The 21,110-nt window shown below is 35.2% G+C and overlaps 1 protein-coding gene across 4 annotated transcripts in view; it reads left to right on the top strand.

Moving 5' to 3' along the window:
- The window catches only part of NCKAP1 (NCK associated protein 1), a 129,343-nt gene that overhangs the window by 90,802 nt on the left and 17,431 nt on the right, over positions 1–21,110 (top strand). For all 4 annotated transcript variants that reach the window (NM_001437266.1, NM_013436.5, NM_001437267.1 and 1 more), the window contains 7 exons: positions 5,493–5,586; positions 12,281–12,363; positions 12,824–12,904; positions 16,868–16,961; positions 18,757–18,873; positions 19,430–19,539; positions 20,751–20,840. In NM_001437266.1, coding sequence (NP_001424195.1) covers positions 5,493–5,586; positions 12,281–12,363; positions 12,824–12,904; positions 16,868–16,961; positions 18,757–18,873; positions 19,430–19,539; positions 20,751–20,840 — 669 coding nt within the window. The remainder of the gene's footprint in view (positions 1–5,492; positions 5,587–12,280; positions 12,364–12,823; positions 12,905–16,867; positions 16,962–18,756; positions 18,874–19,429; positions 19,540–20,750; positions 20,841–21,110) is intronic.

Below are 21,110 nucleotides of genomic sequence, written 5' to 3'. Positions count from 1 at the left end.
TCAGACCTCCTTATTTCCAAAGAACAACTTAAAAAGCTGGAGATATATATATATCTCTATAAAATAATCTTCTTTAAAGAAGAACTAAAAAGATAGTGAAGTATTTCTAGGCTGACGCCAAGGAGAACCTGGGAAATCAGAGACATAAGCCCAGCTTTGGAAGCCACTTTTCACCCAGGCATGTGTACTGAAGCAGAAGTAACATTTGTAAAACTAAGCTGAATTCTGGTGGCCTTGTGGAACAAGGGTGTCAGTAGTCAAAAACCTAGAGTAAAGCCTTCTCAAAGTAGGGCATGGGAAGGAAGTCTGCATAATTTCTCCCCAGCCCTCTTTACATAGACACTGTCTAACTTCGGGGTAGGGGTGAACTGGAAATGAGTCACCCCTCCCCAGGATTTGCAGCCCTGTTTATGTTATATGCTTTATCTAAGGCATCTCAATCCTTGGACCTGGATTAATGTGGTCCTAGGTTGGTAGTGCCCCAATGTACTTAGCAGAAGCTAACACAGATCTTCTCTGGAGAAAGATATCCTCATCCTAGGCTTCAGATGATTCCTGCAAATAATTCATCAAGCACATGACCTTCAGCTGGAGAGTGGAAGTCTTTTGGAGATTAGTGCAGGGTGGAGGTAGGAGGTTTTATATATCTGGCAGGCTGCCATGATTAAATTATTGTCTTGTTTTCAGCCTCAAGCCTTCCTTTCTGTGCCATTGCCTTCAATTTCTGATCCCTTCCTCCTTTCCTCCCTCTTGAGGTGTGATTTAACTTGCTTCTGCATTTTATCTCCATTATAAGAACTTGCTAATCAAATTTCTCACCTCTCCTTATTCTTTGCTCTAGTTTCCATCTTCCAGGAATTTGTTGACTTTTCTCCTTTGATCTTGTTTTTTCTGCTGTTTCCTTTTTTTTTTTTTTGGTAGGTTTATGCCTTTATTTTTTTACCTCTGACTTGAGTGGATTTCTGAAAGGAGCAGTTTTAGACATTTAAAATTCTCTACATTTAATCAGCACTTCTACATAGTTTACATACTTGTTTGAGCATTTTTTTTTTCTTTCCAACTTCTATTTTACGTTCAGGGGTGCATGTGCAGGTTTGTTATATGGGCGAATGACATGTCATGGGTTTGGCACACAGATTATTTTGTCACCTAGGTAGTAAGCATAAGTACCCAATAGGTAGTGTTTTGACCCTTAACCTCCTCCCACCCTCTACCTTCAAGTAGGCCCTGGTGTGTGTCGCTCCTTTTTTTTTTGTAAACAGAGTCTCGCTCTGTCGCCCAGGCTAGGAGTGCAGTGGCGTGATCTCGGCTCACTGCAAGCTCTGCCTCCCAGGTTCACGCCATTCTCCTGGCTCAGCCTCCTGAGTAGTTGGGACTACAGGCGCCGACCGCCACGCCTGGCTAATTTTTTGTATTTTTTAGTAGAGACGGGGTTTCACCGTGTTAGCCAGGATGGTCTCGATCTCCTGACCTCGTGATCCACCCACCTCAGCCTCCCAAAATGCTGAGATTACAGGCGTGAGCCACTGCACTATCTATGTGTACTTGATGTTTAGCTCCCATTTTTAAGTGAAAATGTGAGGTGTTTGGTTTTCTCTTTCTGTGTTAATTCCCTTAGGATAATGGTCTCCAGCTCTATCCATGTTGCTGCAAAGGACATGATCTCATTCTTATTTATGACTGTGTAGTAGTTCATGATATATATGTACCACATTTTCTTTATTGAGTCTATTGTCGATGGGCATTTAGGTTGATTCCATGTCTTTTTGTTGTTGTTGTGAATAGTGCTTCAGTGAACATACACATGCATGGGTCTTTATGTTAGAATGATTTATATTCCTTTGGGTATATACCCAGTAATGAGATTGCTGGGTTGAGTAGTAATTCTGTTTTAAGTTCTTTGAGAAATCTGCAAACTGCTTTTCACAGTGGCTGGACTAATTTACATTCCCATCAGCAGTGCATAAAGCATTTCTTTTTCTCTGCAACCTCACCAGCATGTTTGAGCATTTTGATAGGAAACATTTCTAAAAGTGGATCAAAGAATATGAACATTAATTTTTTTTGATATTACCAAATATCCCTCTGAAAATATTGTAGTTCACACTCTCCTCAGCAGAACATTGTGATATCTCTAATAGCATCTTAGTCTTTTTGGAGTTAGTATATACAGTGTTTTGTGTTTTGGGGGGAATTGTAATATTTTAAAGATCATTCTGTAATTTCTTTGCTGGTTTTTTTTTCTTTCTTTCTTTTTTAAGAGACAGGGTCTCCCTGTCACCTGGTCTGGAGTGCAGTTGCACGTTCATAGCTCACTGCAGCCTCCAACTCCTGGGCCCACCCTCCTGAGTAGCTGAGAAATATAGGCGTGTACCACTGTGCCTACTTTTTTTTTAAGCTTTTTTTTTGTTTTTTATTTTTTGAGACAGTCTCGCTCTTGTCACCCAGGCTGGAGTGCAATGGCACAATCTCAGCTCACTACAACCTCTGCCTCCCGGGTTCAGGCGATTCTCCTGCCTCAGCCTCCCGAGTAGCTGGGATTACAGGTGCCTGCCACCACGCCTTGCTAATTTTTGTATTTTTAGTAGAGGTGGTGTTTCACCATGTTGGACAGGCTAGTTTCAAACTCCTGACCTCAGGTGATCCGCCCACCTCGGCCTCCCAAAGTGCTGAGATTACAGGTGTGAGCCACCACGCCCAGCCTTTTAAAGTTTTTTGTAGAGACGAAATATTGCTGTGTTGCCCAGGCTGGTCTCAAACTCTTGGCTTCAGGTGATCCATCCACCTTGGCCTCCCAAAGTGCTAGGATCACAGGTGTGAGTCACCATGCCTGGCCACTTCTTTGCTTTTATTTCCATTTTTAAAATATTTAATCTAAACTGATATAAACTAAGTATCATTTGATTCAATCTTTTTCTTTTTATCTTAAAGGTGATCTTAATTATTTTAGTTCCTGTTTTAGCCGAGGACCTTTTTGTTTTATAGGGTAATTTGTGTGCTAATTAAAGAAGTAGAGCTTTTTTATATTTGATGGTTGTGAATAAATTGTGTGTCAGACATAATCAACACTATGTACGTGTACTTATGGTGAAACATGTTTATTCCTTTCAGGAGAAGAAAGCAACCGTCTTTTTTTCTACGAAAATTCTTGGGTGTTTTATTTGGGGTTGTGCGCGTTGAGTCCATTTCTCCTTCCAGTCTGCCAAAAGAATTGTTTTGGCATTTTACAGATCAGTTCTTCTAGTTCTTCATGGGATCCTAAAGGACATTTTTTCAAATGAAGTAGGAAATTTAAATATGAATTTTGCCAAGAATTTAACACTTTCTTTTTAACACAATACCAACTAAATTATATCAAACTTTTTTTTAAAAAAAATCTTGATTTATTTCACTTGCTTTGTCTAAACTTATTCTAAACCATTTCATTGGTAATTCCTATTATTACTGCCAGCTTTCAGTTTATTCATCAGTGAGATTAATCAATAACTTTATAGAGAGCAAAAATAGTAAGCCAGCAAATAATTTAGGGTAATGGTTCACAAATTTTACTTCTCAGACCAGCAGAAGAAGCATTACTTTGGAGCTGGTTAAAAATGCAGGTTTTTGTTCTCTGTCTCAGACCTGCTAAATCAGAAATTCTGGGGCTGGGACCCAGCAATGTGTGTTTGTAAGGAGTTCTCTAGAGAATTTTTATGCGCACAAAAGATGGGGAACCATTTCTTTAGGGATTAAGAACATGGATTTTAAAGTGAGACATACCCGAATTCAAATTCCAAATTAACTGTTGAATATCACTGTAACTTTGGGCAAGTTATCCAACTTCTCTGACCTTAGTTTCCTCAGCTGTAAACTTGGAATATTACCTACCTTAATTGGATTATAGTAAATATGATTATAAGTTACCTTGTATAAGAGCTTAACAAATGGTTATAATTGCTCTTATTATTAAACATATATCAGTATTTCTGAAATGGTATGTATCTTATAGTGTTAGTAGTTGGGTTTTTTTTTTCCTTTTAGTGACACATAGAATAAGGTGCATTTTAAATTCGATGGTGTTGATTCACTGATATGTGATACGATGTTTAAAGTGCATGGTCACTATCAGGCTTGGGCATAGAGTTTGAGTGTGTATTGAATCCAGTTTTAGATTTGGAGAGTTTTGTTTTGGCCCAGAGAGAGCAGGCAGCCTAATCAGAGACCATAGAAGTTAAATTCAGCAAATAAATGTGACTAGAGCTTAACTTCTGATTAGCAGCATAATAAGAAACAATCTGAAGTAATAACATCAAGCAACCTAAACAAAACTTATACTAATGTTTTCAAAAAAAGTATTTTTATGGATTTTCTGTGTAGTTTTTTTCCCTTAAATCAGATGTTATCAACCTTTCGTTTGTAAAAAACACCATGGCACTTTATATGCTTGCTGCACCTTCCCAACCAGGTCTGCTGAATTGAAATAACCAAGAATGAAGCAATGGATATGTGTATTTGGAAAGAGCACCACAGGTGATTGTGATGTGTACAAGGGCTGAGAACCATTATAGAGAACAAAAGTAAAGAAAATTCTGATTTACAAGAACTTTGTAGAGATATAGAGATCAGAAATTAAATTATAAACTTCACTTACATTGTGAAAGAACTGGGAAGTGTGATAGTGGTGAACTTAGTGGTGAAAGCAGACCGCACAGGTAACTGCAACAAAGAGCAGAATGTCTCTCTCACTTCTCTCTTTGTTGTTTTAGAAACTCGGTTTATTGTTGTCTAGGCTTATCTCTGACAGAATGAAATTAATTACATTTGTGTTATAATTTTTAAATTACTTTGTAATGTTTCTTTTGAGGAGAACATTCTTCAATGAGTTATACTTTTCTTGAATAGTTATCCTTCACACCCTTCCCTTATTTATATCTCTTCCTTCTTTTCTCTTCCCTTTTCTCAGTGGTCTGTGAAAGAGGAGTAGATAGTTTATACTTCCATTTTATAATTTTTGTTGGGAAACATTACTATTATATAATCCCCATCAAGTGGTACCATACCATAACAAGTCATTCTCCCTCTACTTGTATGTATCCAGTAATACTCATTGTCTACAGGCATACTCTAGCCTGCCTTTGGCCAGGTTTAACTTTAGCTAGTTTTTTTGTTTCAGTTGGAATTTGTTGCTATGTCCATTTTAGTGTCTACTTTTTATTATTGATGCCGTTCAGCGTCTAAGTAAGCATAAGATGATTCTTTATCCTACTACTTACCTTTGTTGCTTTTCCTGAACTCCTTCCTTCTTGAATTTGTAAACTGAAGGGAAACACTAAGCTTATATAAATAATTTTCAGATGCTTTTATTGAAACAACAAAAAAATATATGTAGCATAGAGCGTCTGGATTTCATGAATTGTGTTTCCTACTTGCCAGATTGTAATTTCCAAGCATGCTCTTATCTCATTAACACAAAGAGGTCTGTGCCTGACCTAGGATCTTTCTTTTTTTTTTAGAAACTTGTGGTGGAGAATGTTGATGTGTTAACACAAATGAGGACCAGCTTTGACAAACCAGACCAGATGGCTGCACTGTTTAAAAGATTATCATGTGGGTAACTCATGATACTTTTTATAAACATAAGAAGATCTTGATACTCAGTATTTAGCTTTGGCTCAAAATTTGTAACATAAATACAAGTAGTAAATTATGAAAAGTACTCTTTAGCTTATGAAGAGAACTAGAACATTTTTGCAGTCAAAGGATCATATAAGTGTGTGTGTGGCTTATCTGTTTCACAATTTTTCTTAACCATACTCTTAGTCTACTATGTGTCGCTAGTTCATGAATATTACCAGTATCAATTTGGTTTTGAACCCATTAAATTTAATACAGTAAATCTACATTAATTTAGACTAAAAGGATTAGCTTCTGAGCCTGTTAACTTTCTAAAAATCAACTTTATACGTATAAGTTACATACAATAAAATGTACCATTTAAGCAAACGGTATTTTGGATTTTGACAGATGGATGCATTCATATAACCATTGCCACAGTCTAGATATAGAACAGTTCCATCAGTTTGAAAAATTGTTTGCTATCTCTTTGTAGTTGGTCTCCTACCCCAGTCTCTGGCCCCAGGCCAAACAACCACTGATCTTATTTCTGTCACTATAGATTAAATTTGTGTCTGGCCTCTTTCACTTAGCATAATGTTTTTGAGATTTATTCATCCATGTTGTTAAGTGATCAGTAATTTGTTTCTTTTTGTTATTAGCTAAGATTGATGAAAACCTGAACCTACAACTTAAAAAAAAATTGTAATGTCTTCTTGACATTGATTCTTTGTGGGAGGTATATTGTGAAATCACAGTGAATCTTAAGTATTAAAGTGTGTTCAAGCAGATAACTGTTTTAGATATACTTGATCTAATGTTATTTTCTTTTGCTTTTTTTACTTGAACTGTTAAAGTTACAATGAAAAATTATTTTAAAGTCATACTTCTTGGTTAATTTAAAAGCCTTCTCAACACTAAAAAAAAAAAATGAAATCCCAAATAAAATATTCTTTGTATTTGAGAAAGCCAGAGAACAAGTTTATGTTCCTAAACAAAAAATAATCCAGAAGAAAACTAAAGCCATACATGTATTTAACATACTTCATATTTGACATTTTTCTCTTAAATGCTTTAGAGAATCACTTTATTAGGCTATTTTATCCTGTAAAACTTATTTAATTCTTATTGAATAAAAATTAAAGATTACCTTATAGGACAGATCTGTGGTTGCCAGGACTATAAAGGGAAAGCAATGAGGGAGATTTTTAGGGTGATGAAACTGTTCACCATAGTGGTGATACAAATCTATCATATGTGTCATACGACACATATCACTGTGTGTTACATAGTGGTAACACAGATCTGTACATGATAACATTTGGGGCTGGGTGTGGTGGCCCAGGCCTGTAATCCCAGCACATTGGGAGCCAAGGCAGGCAGATCACTTGAGATCAGGAATTCCAGACCAGCCTGGCCAACATATTGAAACCCTGTCTCTACTAAAAATACAAAAATTAGCCAGGCATGGTGGCACATGCTTATAATCCCAGCTACTCAGGAGGCTGAGGTAGGAGAATTGCTTGAACCCGGGAGATGGAGGTTGCAGTCGGCTGAGATAGCACCATTGCACTACAGCCTGGGCGACAAGAGCAAAACTCTATTTCAAAGAAAAAAAAAATGGAGCTGTATACCAAAAGGAAAAGAAAAGGTCATTTTTATTATATGATACTTTAAAAAACAAAAAAATAGACGTGGTAGCATTATAGGGAGGAGTATGAATAAGTAGGAAATTAGTTTTTAAAACTCTCCTGATCTTTCTTTTGTTATTGTACATTGGTTTACTAGCTACTTATATTTTCTACTCCTTTATTCTTATTAGTTTTGTTTTTTTCATGTTTTCTCCCATTTTTTAATACTCATTTGACAACCCCATTGGCCTTAACCCTATTTACTTTCCTACTAACAGTCTTTTGACTGTTCCATCTAATTAGAAGCAAATAATCCGCTGCAGTGTTCAGTACTTTATTTAACTCTCATTTGTGGAATTGAAACAATGGAATTTGTTAAAATTCCAAACAGAATTTGCAAGTTTTCAAAATAAAATTCATAGTCGTTTGTCAAGATTCTGCTTACTTGAATTTTGTGTATAATAATTAATGGTGACTCATTACCTCTAACTCATTGGCCATTTTGGAATTGGCCAAAACCAAAATCTAAATTGTTGAATGTTAATGACCCATATAAATCAAATTTGTCTTTAAATAGAATTTATTAAATCTTTTCTATAATTTGGAAAAAGAAACGATTCACTTGAGAGTGACTCATTTAGGAGAGTAGAGAGAACTATTTTTTCAGCAATTGAACTGTTTTCCAAAACTTTCTCTTTTTTTTAATTCTTTTGTGCTTCCTTCTCCCCATGTCCATATCCAGAAGTCAATGTGTTTTTGAAGGAGTTTTTCACAGTCAACAAGCACATTCTTTTTAAAAGATAAAGCATTATGATTAATTAAAAGTAGGTCTGAATTGGGAGGCAATCTGGAATTTATTAGTTTATTTTTATTTTATTTTATCTATTTTTATTTTTAAATTTTTTGAGACGGAGCCTTGCTCTGGTGCCCAGGCTGAAGTGTAATGACACAGTCTCAGCTCACTGCAACCTCCACCTCCTGGTTCAACCAATTCTCCTGCATCAGCCTCCCAAGTAACTAGGACTACAGGCATGCACTACCACACTCGGCTAATTTTTGTATTTTTAGTAAGATGGGGTTTCACAGTGTTGTCCAGGCTGGTCTCGAACTCCTGACCTCAAGTGATCCATCCTCCTCGACCTCCTAGAGTGTTGGGATTACAAGCGTGAGCCACCGTGCCTGGCCTTATTATCAGTTTTAAGACTTCTATGTGACTTGGGCAAATCTCCTTATGTCTGTTTAATATTTTTTTATTCTCTGACATTCTGTTTCTTGGGACTAGGTTCATCGCTTTACTGACTCCCTAATTCCAGACTAAAAATATTTCTAGTTTTCCTACAGCAATTTTTTCTTTCGAAAACTCATTCTATTCACATACCTTTCTGCCATCATCTACAAACCTATAAGTTGCCTCTGAAGATCTTTACTTTAGCAGTACTTTGGATGTTATTATTTCCTGAAATTGTTCCACCAGTAAAAATCTTGAACTTTGAAATTCAACTCTCAGATCACAGCCATGTCTTCTAGCTCTCCCATTCCTTTACACCTATTGAACTCCTTGTTCTGGCTCATTGAAACTTTTATGCCTCTCAGCTTTCCTGATCACCTATTCCTGGCTTTACATATTTTATCCATTCTGGACTATGAAATTTGGTTAGTGCATTCTCCCTTATGCTGTCATACCCTTGAGTTTTTGCTACATTCATTCCCACAAAGCAGTTTTCCTGATCCCTAGAAAGTCTCCTGCACCCTGAAAGCCAAGTACTGCTTGTGAAATAACACTTTTTAAGTCTGTCGTTAAACTGGCCTCTTTTTCATCTTACCACCTGTCTTACTTTGAAACTTTTTGACTAGTTTGTATGCACTGTTTGATTGTCCCACCTGTCCACTCTTGGTGTGCTGTAATATGTCCACTTTCCTGAAACCTTTCTGAAAGTTTGTTGGTGACTACTCATTTGCAAGATTTGGTGCTTTTTCCTCAACTCTCATTCTGTTTATTTCTCTGTCGTGTTTATCTCTTTTATTCTCCTTTTTATTAAAGCTTTATTTTCTTTATTTGCCAATACTTTTATCTCTACTCTTCGTCGTTTTTGCAGGTTCATCTTTTATGTAGTGTCAGCTTGTGATATCTTACTCTTCCATTTTTACTCTGCAATACTATTGGAAAAATTTTATCCCAAATTTTCTCTTCCCTTATCCAATATTTATCTTCAGCCTTAACTCTCTTCTATTGATCTCCAGATGTTTAATACCAAGTACTAGTTTGACCGGGGCTTCTCAAAGTATAACCCAGGGACATGTAACAGCACCACCTGGGAATTTGTTAAGCATGTAAATTATTGGGCCCCACCTCAGACCTGCTGACTCAGATCTCTGGGGCTGAGGCCCAGCAGTCTGTGTTTTAACAAGTCCTCGGGGTCATTTGGAATCATACAAAAGTTTAGAAACATTGTGTTAAATATTTTCAGCTATATGACCCACAGGTTTTTCACAACGTCCCTGGAATGGGAAGTATCTCTTCCATGGCAGGTATAAGTAGGTGGGGAGAAAAAACCTGATGTTTTCTTTATTGACTATTTTGTTACCTCTCTCACCATCTATCCATTGACTCACACTGGAAAACTTGGGCATCCTCTCTGATTCTTTCACTCCTCATATTCCATGTGCAGTAGCTATGTCTTATAGATGAGAGTTTACAAATTGGTGTGTCACATTTGGTCCAAAGGTATACATTGTTTGGCCCTATGCTACATTAATTTTTTTTTTAATTTGGGTCATTATTTTTTAAATGGGAAGAGTCATTTTTAAATAGAATTCTTTTCGTATAACTCTTTATATTTTGAAAACCCTGAACAACACCCTCATTGCTTGAAGGATACAGTATAAACTCCTTAGCATGACCTTCAAAAGCTATTATTTGGATTAATGAAATAATTGACTGGCATTACCTCCCTCTCTGTCCCCCACTACCTATTTGTTTGCCTGGTCCAAGACCCACATAGCCTCTGTTCTAGAGTTAGTTCCTTGGGAAGTTAGTGGATGTTATGTGGGGTGAAGGGAAGTGCCAGTGGTCAAATGGTTTGGCAAATAATCCATTACACAATACATTAAGCAGTGTTTCTTACTGTGAAGTATCTTAGAACTTTTAATGTGTCATTATTGTACACATTCAAGATGAGGTTGTAGGGTATAGTCTTTGAGAACTTGATTAATTTCTGGGTAACATACTTTGGAAAATATATGGCTATATCACACTGAATCTTGTCTGTTGTTATTTCTAGTGTGAATCTTTTTTTTTTTTTTTTTTTTTTTTTTTTTGTGAGACAGTCTTGCTCTGTTGCCTAGGCTCGAGTGCAGTGGCGAGATCTTGGCTCACTGCAGCCTCCGCCTCCTGGGTTCAAGACATTCTCCTGCCTCAGTCTCCCGAGTAGCTGGGACTACAAGCACGTGCCACCAGGCTTGGCTAATTTTTGTATGTTTAGTAGAGTTGGGGTTTCACCATGTTGCCCAGGCTGGTCTTGAACTCCTGACCTCAAGTGATCCACCCGCCTCAGCCACCCAACCTAGTCTCATCTTGAATTACCATTTAATTGAATATCTACTGGTCATCTGGGTATCAGACACTGTGCTGAGTGCTACAGGTAGATGAGAAGATTAAGAGTAGTTCCTGCTCACATGGAATTTTTAATAAATTTGCGCCTTATATCATTTTGTTAACATGACTTTTAATTCATATTTGGCTTATATTAGGCCTATTTGTATGGTTTAGTGAAAGATGCTATGGTCAAAGTTTAAACAAGCTACACAGAAGGTAGAAAGTTAAAATAAAACACTTCTCTCTATTCCTACTCCTCAACTAGTAACTTTAACAGTTACTGTAGTATATACATCTCTTTCCAGAAATTTGTTATGTATATACAAATATAGGTCTGTATATATATCTTTTTTAGTTTACATAAATGGAATTATATTTCTTAGTTTTCATGACAGCCCATTTAGACTGTCTGCTATTCGAGGTCTAGGTCATTATTCTGTTTATATTTCTTCTTTTACTACACAGTGTAAGGCTTTGTATATGGCGTGCAATAAATGTTTGTTTTGGCTTTATAAAATGTGAAGGTATTGAACCATCATATTGACCCTTCCAATCCTACTTTGTTAACAGAGTTTTATTTTTTTTTAGAGATGGGGTCTTGCTCCTTTACCCAGGCTGATGTGCAGTGGCATGATCACTGCAACCTCTGATTCCTGAACTCAAAGGATCCTCCCATCTTAGCCTCCCAAGTACTAGGACCACAGGCTCATGCCCCCACACCCGATTGATTTTTTTTTATTTTTTGTAGAGACAGGGTCTTGCTATGTTGCCCAGGGTGCTTGTGAACTCCTGGGCTCAAGCAATCTTCCCGGTTCAGCCTCCTAGAATGCTAGGATTACAGATGTGAACCACCATGCTCAGCCTTGAAAATCTATTAATAATTTTTAGAATAATGCTCTCTAACCAATATGTAAGTGATCAAATCTGTTCAGCTTCAGCAAACTGGTCCTGCCAAAACTGCATGTGTTCTCAACAGGCATTTTTTGTTTCTTAACTCAAGACCTTAACAATTTAAGAATTTAGCACTGCTGAGTTCCTGGGCCGCTTGAGGATTTAACTCCTGTTCACTCTGATCAGCTTCTTTCTCATCTAGTCTCGCTTCCCTTCTTTCTGCCCCTACCTTTTCTGAAATAGGGTTTCAGAAGGTAGTAATATAATTTATATAAAGTTATATTATAAATATAATTTATAGTTAGCTACTTGTGAACCATCTAACTCATATGAAAGAGCACAATATACTCCATTTGATGGAAACTATAGTTACTTAAAAGTTTAACCAGTTTAAATATCAGCTATCAACATCTTTCTCTCTTTAATCATTATTGTAATCAAATTACTGTTAATTGTGCCTTTTATCATGGGAATTTTATTACTTTAATAAATTTAGATTTTTTTCCAAGTTTAAGAAAGAATCCAGTTCACACTTTTTTATTCTCTTCTCCTTCTGTTTCTTTGAATTTAGCTGTTGACAGTGTCTTGAAGAGGATGACAATAATTGGTGTAATTTTATCCTTCCGATCATTGGCACAAGAAGCACTTAGAGATGTAAGAAACCATTACAAGTATATACTCGGTATCCAAACAATCCCTTTTAATTTCTCAGAAATTTAAAGTTAAGTTTCAGATTCATGCTTAGCAATGATATAATTAAAATTCCAGTTTTAGTAGTTACAGAAAATAACATACATAAAATTAGTTATTTAAGCTCATTTTTTGTTTTGGTACTGCTGCTTGCAGAGTATAACTTGCGTGGTTATTGCACTACTTTTTCAGTGATCTTCATTATCAGTAGAGTATTTTCAATTTTGACTATACTGGCTTTAATATTGAATTATTTTGAATCCATTTAATTTTCATATGTCTTGAAATTTTTGAAAAATCACTGAAAGTAGATAAAGTAAAATAATTTTTATGAAAACTAAAATTAATCAATTGGTAATATTTTGTAAATTTAGGGGTTGCCATTTAAAAATAATTCTGTATTCTTATTTGTTATCCTGCCTAGGTCTTATCCTACCACATTCCTTTTCTTGTAAGTTCAATTGAAGATTTTAAGGATCACATTCCAAGGGAAACTGATATGAAGGTAATAATATAATTTATAGTTGGGGTTTACAGTCTCTAAAGCGAAATATTTAAATTACATATGCAAGAAAATGTAATAAATCCTAAACTACTGTAAGGTTTCTAGTTTAGAGTGGTTAGTTAGCATGCTTGCCTTTGTAATTGAATCTTTGAGAGCTCAGCACCAAAATACTACCTAGGCATTTTGAAAGTCAGTCTTCTTTGATCACCTATAGCAATGCAAAATTGACTAAAAATAGATTTTTTTTTTCCTTAAATGGATAGCTGTTTATACATGGTGATAAAGAAAATTAAGAAAGATGAGGTGGCCAGGCACGGTGGCTCACGCCTGTAATCCCAGCACTTTGGGAGGCCGAGGCTGGCAGATCACGAGGTCAGGAGATCAAGACCATCCTGGCTAACTCGGTGAAACCCCATCTCTACTAAAAATACAAAAAAAAAAAAAAAATTAGCCAGGCGTGGTGGCGGGTGCCTGTAGTCCCAGCTACTCGGGAGGCTGAGACAGGAGAATGGTGTGAACCTGGGAGGCGGAGCGTGTAGCGAGCTGAGACCTTGCCACTACACTCTAGCCTGGGCAACAGAATGAGACTCCGTCTCAAAAAAAAAAGAAAGATGAAGCAATGAAATAATAGTCGTTTTAAATACAATGAAATTCAATAAGTTTAAGATAGATGTTAAGTCATTTCTTATAAAAGGATGTAATTGTAGGCTGTAATTTTAAAAAGATTTTTAGTATTCTATTATATGTAATATATATATAAAACAGCAGGTTGGCAGACTTCTGTGAGCTTACAGTTTTTGTTTTGAAAATCTATTGAGCCATGAAATCCAACTATTGATCTAATCCTAGTAATGATTGACCAGTGGTTATACATCTAGTAAGTGATATATCGGGGTTTACATTTGTGTTTTCTAAGCTGACACATTTCTTAGAGAGATTGTTTCTGTTTCACATATCTTGAAAAACACCGACTGAAAAAAATAGTGTCTAAACTCCTTTGTATGACACCAAGACTCTTCTGAAATTGGTGCCACTCAGGCTGGGCATGGTGGCTCAAGACTCTAATCCCAGCACTTTGGGAGGCCGAGGTGGGCAGATCACCTGAGCAAGGTGGGTGGATCACTTGAGGTCAGGAGTTCGAGACCAGCCCGACCAACATGAAGAAACCCCATCTCTACTAAAAATACAAAATTAGCCAGGCGTGACAGTGCATGCCTATAATCCCAGCTACTCGGGAGGGTGAGGCAGGAGAATCTCTTGAACCCAGGAGGTGCAGGTTGTGGTGAGCTGAGATTGCGCCACTGCACTCCAGCCTGGGCAACAGGAGCAAAACTCCCGTCTCCAAAAAAAAAAAAAAAAAAATGTGGTGCCACTCAAACTTTTTGAGGCTTATCTTCTGCCACTTCTTTCTTCCTTCTCTCACTCTCTTTCTTACTCTGTCCCTCTTTTTATATGGTATTCTGTGAGCTAACTAGATCTTTCTGTTGCATTCTCACATCTATCTGTTTTACCTTCTAATTTATTCTACTTGAAAATACCAACCTTTTCTCTTTCTGCCTTTTGAAATCCTGCCTGTATTTTAAGGCTTGATTCAATTGCCATTTTCTAAGAACCATTCCTAGATTCTCCAATGATAAAGAACTTCTTCTTTCTTAGTGTTATCAGAGAACTTGTTTATCTCCTGTGGAGTTGAATATAATCTGCCTTGTATTATAATTCTATTTTTCTACTTATATTTATACCAAATGGTATATATCTTGAAGACCCAGACTTTGTTTTTTTGGTGTTGTTGCTGTTGTTTCTCTTACAGTGTTTTGTGCAGAATAAACATTTGAGATCAGTGATTGTCTTGTGATTCTATGATTGAAAACTATGTACAAATAGCTCAAAATGATTTCCTAAGTGGAAACACTGCAGAAAAAATAAAGTTAAGGAGACAAAAACTAATCAGTTCTTGAGAAGACACTGATGTGCAGAATTATAAGAATTCTAATTAATATTCTGAGCAACCATTCACTTTTCACCTGACATAATCATGTTTAGTTTCCAGCAAACTTTCAATAGAACTTAACTTTTAAAAAAAAAAACAACAAAAAACAAAAACATGTTTTTAAACAGCTTTATTGAGTTATAACGCACCTATCAGAAAATTTACTCATTTAAAATGCACAATTCAGTGGTTTTTAGTGTAGTGACAGAGTTGTTCAACCATCACTAAAGTCAGTTTTAGAACATTTTCATCATCCCCAAAAAGAAGCCTTGTACCCATTAGCAGTCACTCCCCATTCCACTTCTCCCCCATCCCCAGCCCTAGGCAACGACTAATCTACTTTCTGTTTAAATTAGCCTACTTTGGACACTTACATAAATCATCATGTGTAGTCTTCTGATACTGGCTTCTTTCACTTGGCATATTTTCAGGATTCATACATATTACAGCATATATCAGTACTTTTTTTAATGATTGTTGAATAATGTTTCATTGTATGGGTATACAACATTTTGTTTATTCACATCAATTGATGGACATCTGGGTTGTTTTCACTTCTTAGCTATTAGAAACACTGCTACTGTGAACATCCGTGTACAAGTTTTTAATGTGTGAACGTGTATTATTTCTCTTGAATATATACCAGGAGAGAATTGCAGGGTCATATGAAAACTGTATGTTTAGCCTTTTGAGGAACTGCTAAACTGTTTTCAAATTGGGTGTGTCATTTTGCATTCCTACCAGCATTGTATGAGGGTTTCATTTTTTCTGCATCTTCACTAATACTTGTAATTGTCTGTGTTCTTAATCATAGCCATCTAGTGAGTGTGAAGTGGCATCTCATTGTTTATATTTGCATTTTCCTGATGGCAAATTATGTTGAACATGTTTTCATATGTTTACTGGTTATTTCTATATCTTCTTTGGAGAAATAACCATTCAAAGCCTTTGACATTTTAAATTGGGTTGTCTTTTTCTATTTGTGAGTTCTTCATATGTTTTGGATACAAGTCCATTAACAGATTCATGATTTGCAAATCTTTTCTCTAATTCTATAGGTTGATGATGTCTTTTAGTTTCAATGAAGTCCATTTTATCTGTTTTTGGGGGTTTGTTTGTGCTTTTGGTGTCAGTCTAAGAAACCATTGCCTAATGCAGTGTCATGATGATTTGTGCCTATATTTTTTTCTAAGCGTTTTACAGTTTTAGCTCTTACATTTAGGTTTATGATTTATTTTGAGTTAATTTTTGTGTGTGAAGTGAGTAATAGATTACAAACATTTTAATCTAGAACTTAATCCCTGCCATGTTCCCAGTTTTTCTAAGCTATACTATTTTACTTCGTATTTTATACTAAGGTTTTTTGTCGCAATATCAGAGGTAACCAGTTATATAGATAGCTTTCTTCTGAGGTTATTGAGCAGTCAGAATGCCTTGAATATTTGAAATCTATATGTGATACAGAAAAATTACTTTCGTTATTAGAAATTCCCTTATCAGATTTTTAAATGAATACTCCTTAAAAAAACTATTATAAGTAATTTGCTATATTTATAGATACGATATGATTAGACATTGAACCACTATAATTTTTCATTAAACCACTATGGAGATAAACACAGGTCTAGTAATATTGATTCACTTTGTTCATTTATTCATCTTTTCTGACTTGATATTTTATATTCATGCTTCCAAGCAAAGTGATAACTTTAGAATTATCCTGTTGGAATGTGCCACAGAAAGTATACAAGTTTTGTTTGGCCTAGCAGTAGGAAGTTAGAACCAGCAGCACCTCACAGTATTCAACCTACATTGAATCAGTTGTTCAGTATACTTAGTTTTGCTGTAGTTTCTGCTTCAGCCAAGTTTCCGAAATTCTCTGGTGTTCTTCTAGGCAGACTCTAATAAACAGTGAGCTTTCTCAGAAATTTGTTAGACTATTTATTGCTCTGTAATTCTTTTGTTTTTATCAGGTTGCAATGAATGTGTATGAGTTATCATCAGCTGCCGGATTACCTTGTGAGATTGATCCTGCATTGGTCGTAGCTCTTTCTTCACAAAAATCGGGTAAAATGCATTAGTAAATATTTAATACTCTTAGTTAAAGTTACCAGGGCAGCATAGGTATAGGTATGATATTTAACCATATATTCAAATGCCTGCTTTGTGTTCAGCTTTTTAAATTTGTTATTATTATTGCTGGTACTTGGACTATATCAGTGCATAAAACACAAACATCACCCTTCTGGAACTTAAGATTGGTTGAGATTACTGAGCCATTTAGTGTATATAGATGCAGCAGTGAAGAGGATCCAGGTCTGAGCCTTGAGCCATTCTAAGATTTAAGAGCTCAGGGAGAAAAGGAAAAACCACGAAAAAAGAAATTTAGAGAAATTGAGAAGAAAGGACCAATGAAGTAGAAGAAAAACCAGGAAAGGGTAGCTTCCAGGAAGATAGAAAGGAAATGATCAGCTATGTAGAGTTAATTGGTGGTACTAACAAGATCAGTGTCAGTGAGGTTTTATGGGCAAAAGGCTGAGTAGTGAGTAAGGGAGATTAAGGGAGAACAGGAGGAAAGGATTTGGAGATAACTAGAAGACAACTCAAAGAGTTCTATTGTAAAGGGAAGCAAAGAAATAAAATCTCACCAGCTGGAGGCAAGAGCAAAGTCAAGAGAAGGATTTTTTTAAGATGGAGGAGATTACAGCATTTGTATGCTAATGGGAGATGGTCCAGTAGATAGCAAAAAATTGAGATCTAGGAAAGGGTATTCTGTTTTTATTGTACTAGAGTTATTCACCATCAAGAGTTTTATATAAAACATTTAGAAATTTTTAAGACCAGCCCTTAGAAATGCAGTACTCAGAATCCTGTAGATATTTCTTGATTTGTCTACAAAGTAAATATAGCATTTCATCTCTTTCTACTACTAAAATGCCCCTTCTGCCTCCTTGAGGCAGCAGCATGGTGTTTGAGTTCATCAGTTTTTTTTTTTTTTTCATTTAACAATGCAATTTTGTTTCCTCATTCATACAGTATGTTACATTTAGTCACATGGATAATTATAATTATTACTTGATTTGCTACAGCTGTATTTTTTGTAGTCGACCAAATCTTTAAAACATATTTCAGCTCTTTTCTTACATTCAATTCTTAATTATATCTAATGGTGATTAGTAGCCTAAATAACCCACAATTTGAGTGCATATCACAATAAATGTTTTAGAAAGGGTTATGTCTTGAAAGCTTTAGAGCAATGCTGGGTATTTTTATTCATGACTAGTTTCTTCTGTCTTCTTCTGTCTTCTTTTATTCATGACTAGTTTCTTCTGTCTTCTAAAATAGAGAGGTTGAAAACCCATTCCACTTTCCACATTTATGTCTTTTAAATAGTAAATTTCAAATTATATTCATATCTCTTTCAAAAAGTAATTAAGATTTTTTTGGTGATTTTGCAGAATAATTTATAAGTTTTCTAAATTGTAAATAGAACTGTCTCATAAAGTAATAATTCCTCATTAGTTTTCAATTAGGAAATTGTAGGATTGCAGTTATCCTAACTGTATTTTTTGTTCTATAATCTTACAATTAAAAAAAATAAAATCTTACCTTACTGTTTTATCAGACGTCCTTGAAATATGCCTAAGTAGTTGATAATAGTCCATTGTAATATAAACTGTTTCTACTTTATATTTTTATAACAAAATTGTGACCAATTCTATAGAATGCTAGTAAAATAGTTTACTATTTCAAAAAAAAAAGTAAACCATTTTTAAAATAAAAATCTGTTTAGTTTAGATTATCAAATCTTAACTAATCTTGAAGAAATACCTTGATTTTATTCTTAATTTTTGTCTCTTAGAAAACATTAGTCCAGAAGAAGAGTATAAAATTGCCTGCCTTCTCATGGTGTTTGTGGCAGTTTCTTTGCCAACACTGGCCAGTAATGTGATGTCTCAGTACAGCCCTGCTATAGAAGGTAATAGTGGTTTAAAATTGTTTTGGCGATGAATAAATCATGGGTTTTGGTATTTTATAATAAAATATGAGTTAAGTTCTGCCACTAACTGGCAGTGGAACATGGGGTAGTCTGTTTCCCTTTTCCTAAACTGCAGTTTCCTGATATATGAAATGTGTGTAAGTAAGCTCATGTGTGCCTGAATGTGTGTAGAGGTCGGTGAGGGATTATCCAACTCATAGGATTATTTTAAGGATTGAATGGTAAAATGTTGTAAAGCAGCTAAGCACTTCCTTTTTATTTCCGAGCTACTATAAAACTGATGTGTGATTTCTTTTAGATGTTTTCAGAAGTGTTTGCCTGTTTAACATATACACGATCGTTTGTTACTCTCCTGTTAAACTAGTTTTAAAAACATCAGTGTTCATGAAAGTCAAAGGAGAGCAAGTCCGGTCATGTCCCAACTCTACTCTTAATTATGCCCCTATTTATGCAGATTGTGAAGTCATTAAAGATTTGCCTTCTATGTATTATTTGCTATTTTGGGGTCTACACAACCCTATTTGCATTTTCTCAGGGCATTGCAACAACATACATTGCTTGGCCAAAGCCATCAACCAGATTGCTGCAGCTTTGTTTACAATTCACAAAGGAAGCATTGAAGACCGTCTTAAAGAATTTCTGGCGGTATGTATAATCAAATAACAAAACTCATCACATTTTATAAAGAAAACTAAAATTCACAACCACAAAATGTAAGAATAAATTCTCTTTATTTTTACATTTTATTTAGTGTCCTCTAATGGCATTTTGTTTTCAAATTATTTTCTCAGGTATATGAATTTCAGTCTCCTTTTATTTTTATTTGTTTATTTTCTTTTTTGGAGGGAGAAACAGGTGAAGGTGGGGCATTAAAATCGAGGAGCCGTCCGTTATTTCCCTTAGACTCGGAAGTCTCTTTCCCAACTCTAGAGCTCTGCAATATGACCTTTTTTCCCCAAGCTGATGTTTGGACTGCCCTAGAAATTTTCCTAGGCTTGAAAGAGAAAAAAAGCAAAGGAAAATTGAGGCCAAGAGAGAAGCTATTCCCTCTAAAAAGACATATTTTACTTTTTTCCATTTCTTTGGAGAAAGACAATTAATGGTGAAAAATTCATCATTAAAAATACTACTCACTACCAAGAGAGAGGAGTGCTAAATGTAGCCTCATGAAACATGGTTTTTAGTTTCTCTATCAATGTAGTTCTTTCTTTTCTTTATTAATATAACCTTTTCCATATTTTATTTAAACGAAAGATATACCATGGCATACTGAACTCTAGAACATTTACTTCTTTTTCAGTTATAAATCCTGTCAGCTTTTTTAAAAAATAATTTTTAAATTACAAATGCAAATATAGTACTAACTTGAGGAGAAAATAACTTCTATTTCAAGGAAAACACTATTAAAAATTTTAAGTGTTTCTTTCCATTTGCAAATAATTCCTTCACTCAGGGTTTAATGTCTTAATCTTACAGTGTTTCTGTGAAGTCAAATCCAGTGTGAAACTGTCTTCTTCCTTGGGAACTAAGAAATATAGTCAGTATAGATAATGGGATGGGATAAGAGAAAATAATTTGAATCATTTTAAAAAGCAGACTTGTTCTGAAAAAATCAGTTTTAAAGACCAATAAGAATATTTGATTACATTTATTATGTTAGTGTCTCTTTGTGCCTTAATTACTCTCTAAATTACTGCTTGAATGTAGGCTATCTAAGCTCATCTTATTTAATTGCTCATTATTTTATATTTAGCACTGAATGATTGAAATGTGTTGGAAGTTGAAACATACCTAAAATAAGTAACCGATGAACCTTTTATTAACAAACTCACTTTATGTGTATGTATACTTTTAAGCTTGCATCCTCCAGTCTACTGAAAATTGGCCAGGAGACAGATAAAACTACAACAAGAAATAGAGAATCTGTTTATTTACTGCTAGATATGGTAAGTCTCATTTTAATTTTTACTAACAATAAAAAAGTTCCAGTCGTTCCTGAGAATCTTTTCTTGGCATCTTAGTCATTGAATACTTTTTTTGATCCCTTTTGTTCACTTCACGTAAGCCACACCTTTCTAAAATTTGCAGAGAAGACTGACATCACTCATATTTTATCATTTCGGTAATATCAGAAGATAACAATCAAAGGTTAGCATTAACTGTGGGTATTCTTTTATGAACAGTTTTTCAACCTGTTGGAAAACACTCAGGCCTTG

This window comes from Homo sapiens, chromosome 2 (genome assembly GCF_000001405.40).
Source record: "Homo sapiens chromosome 2, GRCh38.p14 Primary Assembly".
NCBI lineage: Eukaryota > Metazoa > Chordata > Mammalia > Primates > Hominidae > Homo > Homo sapiens.
Note: the sequence above shows the minus strand (reverse complement) of the source record. Positions and strands in the feature narration are given on the sequence as shown.